Source organism: Homo sapiens, chromosome 5, assembly GCF_000001405.40.
Source record: "Homo sapiens chromosome 5, GRCh38.p14 Primary Assembly".
In the NCBI taxonomy this organism is placed as follows: Eukaryota; Metazoa; Chordata; class Mammalia; order Primates; family Hominidae; genus Homo; species Homo sapiens.
The window spans coordinates 138,167,060-138,179,111 of NC_000005.10; the positions used below are offsets into that span (position 1 = coordinate 138,167,060).

At 43.0% G+C, this 12,052-nt stretch overlaps 1 protein-coding gene across 6 annotated transcripts in view, besides 4 other annotated features; it reads right to left on the reverse strand.

The window, feature by feature from the left end:
- BRD8 (bromodomain containing 8) overlaps window positions 1-11,571 on the reverse strand; it is a 38,861-nt gene extending 27,290 nt beyond the window's left edge. For 2 of the 6 annotated variants that reach the window (NM_001164326.2, NM_006696.5), the window contains exons 1-10: window positions 11,537-11,571; window positions 10,512-10,608; window positions 5,006-5,075; window positions 4,302-4,351; window positions 3,979-4,101; window positions 3,773-3,853; window positions 3,286-3,350; window positions 2,163-2,299; window positions 1,411-1,629; window positions 875-1,019 (exon numbers count right to left, since the gene is read on the reverse strand). In NM_001164326.2, the coding sequence (NP_001157798.1) occupies window positions 875-1,019; window positions 1,411-1,629; window positions 2,163-2,299; window positions 3,286-3,350; window positions 3,773-3,853; window positions 3,979-4,101; window positions 4,302-4,351; window positions 5,006-5,075; window positions 10,512-10,608; window positions 11,537-11,555 (1,006 nt within the window). In that variant the 5' untranslated portion in view covers window positions 11,556-11,571. Of the gene's footprint in view, window positions 1-874; window positions 1,020-1,410; window positions 1,630-2,162; window positions 2,300-3,285; window positions 3,351-3,772; window positions 3,854-3,978; window positions 4,102-4,301; window positions 4,352-5,005; window positions 5,076-10,506; window positions 10,609-11,536 lie in introns of all 6 variants that reach the window. The other 4 variants (NM_001300966.3, NM_139199.2, NM_001300961.3 and 1 more) reach the window with 4 other exon arrangements.
- Window positions 11,521-11,815: an enhancer, noted in NCBI's record as "tiled region #11877; HepG2 Activating DNase unmatched - State 1:Tss, and K562 Activating DNase matched - State 1:Tss". NCBI's record gives its function as "activates a minimal TATA promoter and a strong SV40 promoter by Sharpr-MPRA in HepG2 cells, with weak activation in K562 cells {active_cell/tissue: HepG2 | K562}" and the evidence as "EXISTENCE:reporter gene assay evidence [ECO:0000049][PMID:27701403]".
- Window positions 11,521-11,882: a biological region, named in NCBI's record as "Sharpr-MPRA regulatory region 11877".
- Window positions 11,523-11,572: an enhancer, noted in NCBI's record as "active region_23193". NCBI's record gives its function as "activates an Ori minimal core promoter by ATAC-STARR-seq in GM12878 lymphoblastoid cells {active_cell/tissue: GM12878}" and the evidence as "EXISTENCE:reporter gene assay evidence [ECO:0000049][PMID:35858748]".
- Window positions 11,713-11,882: an enhancer, noted in NCBI's record as "active region_23194". NCBI's record gives its function as "activates an Ori minimal core promoter by ATAC-STARR-seq in GM12878 lymphoblastoid cells {active_cell/tissue: GM12878}" and the evidence as "EXISTENCE:reporter gene assay evidence [ECO:0000049][PMID:35858748]".

The window sequence follows — 12,052 nt, forward strand, 5'->3', positions numbered from 1 at the left end:
ACATAGCGAAACCCTGCCTCTACTAAAAATACAAAAAAAAAAAAAAAAAAAAAAAAAAAATTAGCTAGGCGTGGTGGTGGGTGCTGTAATCCCAGCTATTCAGGAGGCTGAGGCAGGAGAACTGCTTGAACGCAGGAGGTGGAGATTGCAGTGAGCCAAGATTGTGCCACCACACTCCAGCTTGGGCGACAGAGCAAGGCTCTGTCTCAAAAAAAACAACAACAACAACAACAAAGGGTGGTAATTTTTCCTCAGAGGAAAATTAATCACCAAGAAACGAAAAACTGGTATGAATAAATCTGTCGCTTCTGCTGAAGTTCAGCATATTGTAAACCACCCAAGTTCAACACCATTCAAATACCAATAAGGTTTGTATGGTATTCTATGGAGCTTTTTTTATTTCCCTGCTTTATACTTTCTACCTCATTAAATTCTCATCACATCCTTGTGAAGTATATATGTTACAATAAAAAAGGAAACTGAGGCTCAAAAGCTAAGTTACCTATCCAAGGTCACAAAACCAATGTGTGGCAGGCCTGAGATTCAAGCCCAATTCTCTGGTTCCAAATCTTATTCCACTATTCTATAATCTTAGGTATCTCTAGCACCTTGATTTTGCAAGCCCTAAGAAAGCAGTTCAATATTACTCTCAATATCCATGCTGTGGTCAATCAGGGCTATCACTATCTTGAAGATAGATGGCTTTATAATATGGAGACTACATTGTTTACCAGGTAAAGTAGCTCCAAAAAAAAGTTAGAAAAAGTTGGGCTTTAAATCTAGCACTGACAACTGCTTAGTAACAGTGAAACTGAGGTCAGTCAATGTCAAGTTCAACACCTTTGAGGTTGATAAAGGAAAAGTGGTAACTTACCTGATGCAGCAGGGGAGGCTGCAACAGTATTGGGTGTTTGCTGTATCTCCCCACCATGTATCATGGGAAGGACCCCGCCTACCTCCAGGAGGACACCTGTACTGTTCAGGTGGCCAGAAGCCACAGCCATTTCACTCTCATTGACCTACCAGGGAAGAATAGAGGTGAAGGCTACACTCAAGCTTTCCTTCACTACCATTTCCCAACAAAGCTCCAGCAGTTGATCAAACTTCATGAAAACTAATAGCTAATATCCACAGAGAATAATTTAAGACCCAAGGGAAACTCTAAACTATAATGTTCAAAACTTATTTGACAAGAGTTCTCTGGAGAAGAGAACCAAAATAATTGTGATTCAGATACCTCAGGACCCATGGGTACTATCAACTTACTGTATTTTTAAAAAATTAACATTTAATTAGGAGATCTTTTCCTCTTTTGAACTTTTATTCCCCATGTCACATTTTAGGTCCCAGGCACTCCCTTCCAAGTACTAAATCACCACAGCTCTCAAACACCCACAGAAGTCTCCATACCAGTCTGGGGCTAGTAGGCAGGAGGCTGCCCTTCTTCAAGAGCTCTGACAGCAGAGGGGAGGGGGGTGGAGTTGCTTTCTGTCCAAGCATCTTTTTCTGGGGTGAATCATCTGTTACTGGGGTCATGGGGGCTTCTAAGGGTGCAGAGCCTGGAGGAAGGGTGTCAGGAATCCCAGGAAACGAGGTGACTGGGGTACTCGGCAAAGTCCCGGGGGTTACCTAAGAGACAACAGAGAACCTTTATCTGACTTCTCAAACTATGGAAGGTTCCCTACTAATCTGTATGGGTTAGTGTGTCTAACTATTATTTTATTAGTCCTGAGTGGAATTGCCCAGAAACCCTCTATCCCTCCTGCTCTTAGCCATACTTTTCTTCCCCACAATCTTCTCTTTCATCCACTCAAACCCACAGTGACTCAACCATCCCACCCAACCTGCCTTTTATGAACTCCTTACCCACTACCAATATTACATTTACAAGGATTTTGTCCCTTATTTCAGCAGGAATTTCATAAGACTAGTATGAAACAATTTCTTAAAATAGTTTTTTACCTATCTCTCAAAAAGGTCAAAAGCCTCAATGCTTTTAGGTCCGTTCTTATCTCAGAGCACAGAACATGGTAAATTAAGTCTTTAGCATTCAGATCAAGAGAGGAAGTTGCCTCTAGGCCAAAAGTGGTTTCCTCATCGCTCAGCTCTGCCGGCTTATTGCCCCTTCACTGATCAATTCCCACAGATGGAAATATACTCACCCCAGAGGTAGCCTCTTCCATAGTGGTTGGAGTCAAGTCCCCAAGTGGATAATCACCTCCTGGGGAGGCAGAATCTATAGGAGAGCGAACCATCACAGTGGGTAACCTCCGGGGGGGTGTTTTTACTGCTTGACGAGCTAGAACATAAAAGAGAACAATGTCCAAATCTTCAAGATTAAATAAATGAAACTTGACACTAGTCTGCTATTATACAATAAAGGACAAATAGGTATGTTGCATTACTAAAGCAGCATAATAAGTTTGGATTAGAAAGCTTTAACACTTCTAGAGATGGATAACTTTTTAGCCTAATTTTTCCTAAGGGCAATTCTCACACTAAGAAACTCCTTTAACAATCTCAAACTACTTAATTATCCCAAAGGTCCTTGGAGTGGGAAAGTAGTTTAAACATCCTTTAATATTCTCTTTAGCAACTTACTAATATTCTGCTTTTAAGAACAGGAAGGCCAGGTGCAGTGGCTCACGGCTGTAATCCCAGCACTTTGGGAGGCCAAGGCAGGTGGATCACCTGAGGTCAGGAGTTTGAGACCAGCCTGCGAAACCCCATCTCTACTAAAAATACAAAAATTAGCTAGGTGTGGTGGCAGCCGCCTGTAATGCCAGCTACTCGGGAGGCTGAGGCAGGAGAATCACTTGAACCCGCGAGGCGGAGGTTGCAGTGACCCAAGATCGCGCCACTGCACTCCAGCCTGTGCAGCAAGAGCAAAACTCCGCCTGGGGGAAAAACAAAAAACAAAAACAGGGAAAGACCTCACTGGCGCACAGCATGTATTCCTAGAGTTGTAAATGCTTAAATTTCTCCTCATCTAATGACTGAGCTATTCTCAATCTTTTCACAGGCCCTTGACTTCTAAAACATTATGTTCAATATCTCATCAAGCCTTTGTGTCCTGAAGTTAATTTAAGGTCTAGTGAGATCTGAGCACAACGCATGTTCTAGGAGTTTCTTCTTAAGACATTAAGGGATGTTTTTATTCTGGTAGAAGAGAAAACTGCAAGTAAATTTAAATCAATGTATTCTATGTTACAAAACAGTCCAACTGTCATTAGCATGCAGTACTGTGCAATCAATTGCTAAAGAGGCATACTAGGTTCAGCTTACCCTGGTATGCAGCATCTGTAGCCTTCCTCTTTACTTCAGCCTCCTCTTCTTCCAATTTCTTTTTCCTAAACAGGGAATTAAGGGTTAGATGCTAGACAGCTCTGGCTCCTCCCCAGAGTTCACAGAACCCTTACAAAGTAATTTTTTTTGCCAGGCCAGCACTTTCTGGAAGAAAGGCCTAAACAGGAATTCTAACCAGCAAAACAGTGAATTGGGGTATACTGCCTAACTCCCAGTTCTTCACCCAGGCAAACTATAGCCACTCTTAAGTTAGAACTAAGTTATGTTTTCATACTGAAATGTCCCATTATATTACCTTCTAGGACTCACTCCCCCCTCCCAGCCACCAAACCACTTTGCAGCTTTCCCCTTCCAGAATCTGTCTCAAGTCTAAAGGGACGGCAATTGGAGGAAATAAGCCAGATTACTTGAGGGGAAAAGAGGGTAAAAAGAAAGAAGCACAGAAGAACAATATAATATAACCCACGTTGCAATGTCATTGCAAAGCTCATCCAGTCTGCTGTCCATGTGTCCAGCTTGAATTAGTTCTGCATCTCTCTTTAGCCGTCTATAGGAAGAAAGAGAGGTAGGTAGACTGGGTTTTTTAATCTGCTATTTTAAAAGTTCTGACCAGTACCAGAAGACAGTCCCTTATGTCTTTCTCAATTTTTTGGCATTCTCTCTGATAAGTACCTATATCTCTCCTGGGTTTCCTTTATCACTTTCTTTAGTTCTTCAACTCGCTCAGCAGTCAATTTCCGAACAATAACATCTTCAACAGTTTCCACCACTTCTCCCTTTTCACCTCGTTTCCGTCTGTGGAAAATTGAAAAAAAAAAATTCATATTCAAATAACATAACATTTATCCCCTCTCCTACTTGCTTTTACCACTTAATCATAGATAACTTCTGCTATTTTTTAATCATCCAGTATCATAACTAAGTATAAACCAGAATTCCTCAGTAAATACTCTCCACTAAAGAAATATGGCTGAAGTACCTGGCTTTGTACTCACTTTGGTGTCTCAGTGGTCTCTAAAAGCTCCGAGTACTGGGAAGCACAATGCTATTAAAAAAAAAAAAAAAAGTGAAAATGTGATGAGCAAGGCTGGAAAGAAATGACCTTTCAAAGTTTCAAGAGATTAGAGTAAGATTTAGAGAAGAGAACTATATGTAAGACGGGAGTGGTTTACTAGGAGGGCAAGTAACTTTATAATCAAATCAGTTCAAAATAATCAAAACAAGACACAGAAAAAGACAGTCTTATGGACTGGAGTTTGTGCATTTGCGGAAAGGCAACCTAACTGCCAATATTTATAGCTAATATCTACCAAGTAGTTACTACATGCAAGGCACTGTGTTAAATGTTTTACATGTATTACTTCAATTAGCTTCACAACAATCCTGAAGCAACTCTTTTATCTCTATTTTACAAATGAAAAAACAGAGGATCATGGCCCAAAGTTTTTAGATGGAGTAATAATGAACCCAGATCTAATTCCCAAGCTTGGGCTCTTAACTGTTATGCAACACCAATAAGAAAGGTCTAATATGATCATACATGGATGGATTAGCAAACAGTAGGAAAAAGAAAAAGGTATTCTCAACTATTTTCCCACATCATGGTATAAAAGCTTTGTAACTAAAAGTCAGGGCCTGGTAGAGAACCTACTTTACAACCCAAAGACTGCTCTAAAAGAGCCCTTGCTTGGGAACTTACTTTTTGAGAGAACCAGTCTGGAGGGCGGCCAGGTTCTGCAAAGGGCTTGATTGCTCTGCTAACTGATACCCTACAAAATGAGGAAAGCTTTATTACACACCAAGCAGAAAACAATAGGAGAGGTATGCTGAGAGTGCAAGGCTTGGAGTTCAAACTTTGGAATAAAAAAGATGCGAATGGCCAGGCGCGGTGGCTCACGCCTGTAATCCCAGCACTTTGGGAGGCCAAGACGGGTGGATCACAAGGTCAGGAGATCAATACCAACCTGGCCAACATGGTGAAACCCCGTCTCTACTAAAAATACAAAAATTAGTTGGGCATGGTGGCATGCACCTGTAGTCCCAGCTACTCGGGAGGCTGAGGCAGGAGAATCTCTTGAACACAGGAGGCGGAGGTCACAGTGGGCCGAGATCTCACCACCGCACTCCAGCCTGGGGACAGAGTGAGACTCCATCTCAAAAAAAAAAAAAAAAAAAAAAAAAGCCAATGAATGCGAGGTGTGCAATGGACCGTGCCTGTAATCCCAGCACTCTGGGAGGCAGAGGTGGGAGGACAGCTCAAGCCCAGGAGTTCAAGCCACCCGAGGAGATCCCATCCCTACAAAAAAAAAAAAAAAAAAAAAAAAAAAAAATCGACAAGGTATGGTGGTGCGTACCTGCGGCCTGTGGTCCCAGCTACTTGGGCAGCTGAGGTAGGAGGATCCCTTGAGCCCAGGAAGTCAAGAGGCTGCAGTGAGCCCAAATCGCGCCACTGCACTCCAGCCTGGGTGACAGAGTAAGACCACCCCCTCCGCCATTCAAAAAAAAAAGAACAGCATATATAGTATATAATCATTTGTGTTAGAAAATGAGGGGGATGAAGGGGAAAAAGAAAATATTTGCTCACATAAAATTTTGCTGGAGAGACACAAGAAACTGCTAACACTAGTAGACGGGGGATAGTAACGGGAGGAAGACACTGCATATAATTTTGAATCTTATGACTTAGTATCTGCTGATAAAATAATAAAATTTAAAACTTTTACTCAAGTATTCTTATACTATTTTTCTATGGCTGGGCGTGGTGACTCACGCCTGTAATCCCAACACTTCGGGAGGTCGAGGAGGGCAGACTGCTTGAGATGAGGAGTTTGAGACCAGCCTGGCCAATGTGGTGAAACCCCACCTCTACTAAAAATACAAAAATTAGCCAGGCATGGTGGCGTGCACCTTTAATCCCAGCTACTCGGGAGGCTGAGCCAGGACAATCACTTAAATCCAGGAGGTGGAGGTTGCAGTGAGCCGAGATCGTGCCACTGCATTCCAACCTGGGTGACACAGTGAGACTCCATCTCAAAAAAAAAAAAAGATTCTTAACACTATTTATCTAATAAAAATGTGAGGAAATATACAGATTAGATTCTATTTCAAACCAGTTTACCTGTTTTGTTTAAAAATGAGCTCAATTTATATACATATACAAATATATGTGATGTGTATACACACACACACACACACATACAAAACACACATTGTTTTTGTTTAGACAGTATCTCACTTTGTCACCCAGACTTCAGTGCAGTGGCACAATCATGGCTTGCTGTTGCTTCCACCTCTGAGGCTTAGGCAACCTCCCACTGCAGCCCCACCCAAGTAGCTGAAATCACAGATGCACCATCATGCCTGGCTAATTTTCTTTTTTGTAGGGAACAGTTTCTCTTATGTTGCCTCCCTGGCTCAAGCCATCCTCACACCTCAGCCTCCCGAGTAGCTGGAACTATAGGCACACACCACCAGACCTGGCTAGTATTTTTGTGTTTTTTTATAGTTTTGTCATATTGCCCAGACTGGTCTCCAATTCATGATCTCAAGCAACCTCCTGCCTTGGCCTCCCAAAGTTCTGGGATTATAGATGTGAGCCATTGCACCCAGCCCCATTCTATTCTCTAGTTCTGTGAGGTCTATAATTTTTCCTAGATTCCACATATAACTGAGATCATATGGTATTTCTTTATGTGTCTGGCTTATTTCACTTTACATACTATCCTCCAGGCTCAACCATGGAATCACAAATGGAGGATTTAATTCTTTTTTATGGCTCAACAGTATTCCATTGTGTGTGTGTGTGTGTGTGTGTGTATACATATATATTTTTTCTTTACCCATTCATCTGTTAATGGATACTATAATAATTACCTTAATTGTGGATAGTTTCACAAATGTATATATATTTCAAAAATACCATGTCTTATGCTCTAAATGTGTGCACTGGCCGGGTGTCGTAGCTCATGCCTGTAATCCCGGCACTTTGGGAGGCCGAGGCAGGTGGATCATCTGAGGTCAGGAGTTCAAGACCAGCCTGGCCAACATGGTAAAACCCTATCTCTACCAAAAAATACAAAAATTAGCCAGGCATGGTGGCAAAGGCCTGTAGTCCCAGCTACACGGGAGGCTGAGGTGGGAGAATCACTTGAACCTGGGAAGCAGAGGTTCCAGTGAGCCAAGATTGCACCACTGCACTCCAGCCTGCGCAACAGAGACTCCATCTCAAAAAAAAAAAAAAGGTGCAGTTTACTGCACATCAATTATATCACAAAAAAGTTGTTAAAAGGGAAGAGATGTGACTTTTCTTACCAACCCCCTTCCTTCTTGTTGCATGGAACAAGGATGTGATAGCTGAAGGTCAAGCAGCCACCGTGAACCATAAGATAACCAGAAGATAAACTATGCACTGAGGAAGGTGGAACAGAAAGAGAATATCCTGAGCCTCTAATGTCACTGTGAAGTTGCTATGAGAGCTGTGGACTGCCTAGACTTCCTGTATGTGTGACAAAAAATAAACTCAAGTTTTTTTTTTTTTTTTTTGAGATGGCGTCTTGCTCTGTTGCCCAGGCTGGAGTGCAGTGGCACGATCTCAAATCACTGCAAGCCCCGCCTCCTGGGTTCACACCATTCTCCTGCCTCAGCCTCCTGAGTAGCTGGGACTACAGGCGCACGCCGCCACACCTGATTTTTGTATTTTTAGTAGAGACGGGGTTTCACCGTGTTAGCCAGGATGGTCTCAATCTCCTGACCTTGTGATCCGCCCACCTCGGCCTCCCAAAGTGCTGGGATTACAGGCGTGAGCCACTGCGCCCGGCCTTAAACTTAAGTTTTTAACCCATTTCTTTGTTGCTATTGCTTTCTATATAGTGTTTTTGTTTTTATGGTGGCCACATATTACTTCAAAAATTAGATTTAAAAAACAAACAAAAAAAATGCTAGGAAGCATGACAATCAGCAAAGTACTGAATTGTTTATAAATGTGGCAAGAGAGTTAAATTCATAATGGATGATTCAAAAGAAAGGGGGTGAGGGGCTGATACCGAGAAAGGTAAAATGATGATAGTTCTAGGCTGGGAGTGATGGCTCACGCCTATAATCCTAGCACTTTAGGAGGCTAAGGTGGGAGGATCACTTGAGCCCAGGAGTTCAAGACCAGCCTGGGCAACAAGTGACAAAAAACACAAAAAATTAGTCAAGCATGGTGGCAAGGGTCTGTATTCCCAACTACTCAGGATGCTAAACTGGGAGGATCACTTGAGGCCAAGAGTTGGAGACCAGCCTGGGGAACATAGTGGGACCTCGTCTCTACAAAAACATAAATATTTAAATTAAAAAAAAAAAAAAAGTTCAGCCTGGGCAACATGGCAAAACCCCATCCCTACCAAAAAATACAAAAATTAGCCAGGGGTGATGGCATGTGCCTGTAGTCCCGGCTACTCAGGAGGCTGAGGCCGGAGGATCACTTGAGCCCAGGAGGCAGAGGTTGCAGTGAACCACGATCGCACTACTGCACTCCAGCCTGGGTGACAGTGAGACCCTGTCTGCAAAAAAAAAAAAAAAAAAAAAAAAAAGTCAAACATAATAAAGTTACTACATAACCCAGCAATTTCACTCCTTGAATAAAAAACTCAAGAGAATTAAAAACATTGTCCACAACCTTGTACACGAATGTGCACATCATCAGCATTATTCATAATGGCCAAAAAGTGGAAACAACCCAATTGTCTATCAAGTGATGGATAAATAAAACTTGGTATATTCATACAACAGATTATTATTCAGCTAAAAAAGGAATTAAGTATTGATACATGCTACATAAGAATGAACCTTAAAAAGTGTTATGTCAAGTGATTAAAAAAAACAAAAAAAAGTCCAGAAGAGCACGTATCATTCCATTTGTATGAAATATCCAGAATAGGCAAATCTACAGAGACAAGAGAGTTGGCTGGGTATGGTGGCTCACACTTGTAATCCCAGCACTTTTGGAGGCCAGGACTGGTGCATTACTTCAAGACCAGCCTGGACAAAACCTCATCTCTACTAAAAATACAAAAATTAGCCAGGCCACTCGTGGCGCATGGCTGTAATCCCAGCTACTTGGGAGGCTAAGGCACGATAATCGCTTGAACCTGGGAGGCGGAGGTTGCAGTGAGCCAAGATCTAACTACTACACTCCAGCCTGTGTGACAGTGAGACTCTGTCTCAAATTAATTAATTAATTAATAGAAAGTAGATGAGTGCTTGCTTGGGGGTGGTGAGGAGGGGACAACATGGACTGACAGTTAAGGAGTAAGGGGTTTTTCTTAGAATAAAATGTTCTAAAATTAGATTGTGGTGATGGTTGCACAACTGTGAATATACTAAAAACCATTATATTGTACATTTTAAGTAGGTTAATTTTATAGTATGTGAATTATATCTCAATAAAGCTGTTTAAAAAAAGAAATACAGCTGGCCTGGTGGCTCACACCTGTAATCCCAGTAGGTTGGGCGGATCGCTCGAACGCAGGAGTTCGAGACCAGCCTAGGAAACATGATGAAACCCCCATCTCTACAAAAAAATAAAAAAAATTAGCTGGGCATGGTGGTGTGCACCTGTAGTCCCAGCTACTCAAGAGGCTGAGGTGGAGGATCATTTGAGCCTGAGATATGGAGGTTGCAGTGAGCCAAGATCACACCACTGCCCTCCAGCCTGGGCCACAGAGTGCAATCTTGTCTCAAAAAAAAAAAAAAAAAAATAGGCCTGGCAGTGGCTCACGCCTGTAATCCCAGCACTTTGGGAGGCCGAGGCGGACAGATCATGAGGTCAGGAGATTGAGACCATCGTGGCCAACATGGTGAAACCCCGTCTCTACTAAAAATACAAAATTAGCCAGGCATGGCCAGGCGCAGTGGCTCACACCTGTAATCCCAGCACTCTGGCAGGCCGAGGTGGGGGGATCACCTGAGGTCAGGAGTTCGAGACCAGCCTGGCCAACATGGCGAAACTCTGTCTCTACTAAAAAATACAAAAATTAGCTGGGCGTGTCCGCACCACTGCACTCCAGCCTGGGCAACAGAAGGAGACTCAGTCTCAAAAAAAGAAGAAAAAGAAAAGAAAGTCTACTTACAGCTTAATATGATTAACTATAGAAATCTACCGATGTGAAAGAGTATCTAACAATTTCTAAGACCCAGAAAAGCTGACATCCTAGATACCTTACCAATTTTGATCGCCACTTCTCATGACAGAAGATGCTAAACATAGCTTCTCTCGGATGGACCATGGCTCTGTGGGGCCAGTGCTTAGCAGCTTGTGTTCTGGGAAAGGGAGAAAAAAAAAAAAGCCTTGGAAACAACCACTGAGACTGTAGTGCTAAGCTCCAAAATCCCCAAAAAGAGGACTAAAAGCCTAATACAAAACATCCCAACTTGTTAGGACAAAGTGAGCTACTATAACCAAATCTTGATTTTCACCTCTCCAAGTGAAATATCACCAGTGACCGGGGTACCTATTCGTTGCATGTGAATTATTAACATTTTATTTCTTAAAACGCCATGGCTTGAAGCTCCGCTTTATTAAGAAACAGGGAATGTCAGATTAGGCAGTTCTCCCTAAAAGCCCAGTTTTAAGAATACTGGACTTTATTCCAGTTTGAACTTATTCAGGGCTTATTTCCCAGGAACCCGAGCGGCCAGCCCCTCCTACTACCCCGCCTCCCTCTTAGCATAAACTTGTTTACTTCTCTCAGATCCTCTACTCCAAATGTCGGGGGTAAAAGAGCTTTTCAGTCCAAAAAAAGAAAAATGGCTGAAATCCCCGAGATGCAATTTCCTGAGTGGCAAGAAAAGCTCATGGTTAAAAGACCCCACTTCCACTGCCTCACAAACGTCAGACAAAAAAATGAATGGCTCTTTGAGGTGCCGGTTACTCCGTCTGGCTCATAACATCTTTTCGTCTGCACGCCCAAGTTTCTAGAGTGCTTTTACGGTTAACCCGCAGAGTTCCTAACACACTAGGATTCACTAAGCTGCTTCTCTCACACCTCCGCTCTCTCCCTGAGAAACAAGACCCCAGATTTCTGGGCCCCCAAACGTTGGTCTTCACGATGCTGTAGAGCGCAGGTCTCTGAAAACCCTGGGCTCTCAAGCAACCCACTTCTCCCACTCCCTAAGCGTGTAACAAAAATATGGTGCCTAGCCTCGGATCTACAAAGGCCTTTCACGCAAAACCTGCTCAGATACTCACTGCCCGTTCCCGTCGCCATCTTGGCCCCGAAGTCTCCAACCCTGAGGAGAGACGGTCTGGAAGGGCCGAAACCCTGGAATTCTGGGAAATAGTGTACCGGCGTTGGTTCGCGGTGCCTCCTGGGAAATGTCGTTTTTCCCCTTAAGACAAAGCAAGCACCCTAAACCAGTTACCCTGTGCACTCCTGTTAAGATTGTTGCTAAGGAAGGACAGGAGTTGGCTGCTGAAGCCTCAAGATTTCCTTTAGGCTCTTAGGTAAGAAATGTCTAAGGTTCAAGGAAAAAGGTTAAGTTGGAAGAATCCCAGGCAAAATAAGTGCGAATCCACGACAGTTGGTAACCCGGACCCACATTAGAACTCAGAGGTCAAGCAGAAGCGAACGACTGGAATTCCAGTCAGGCCCGCCCCCTTTCCTTACGCGGATTGGTAGCTGCAGGCTTCCCTATCTGATTGGCCGAACGAACGCAGCGCGTAATTTAAAATATTGTATCTGTAACAAAGCTGCACCTCGTGGGC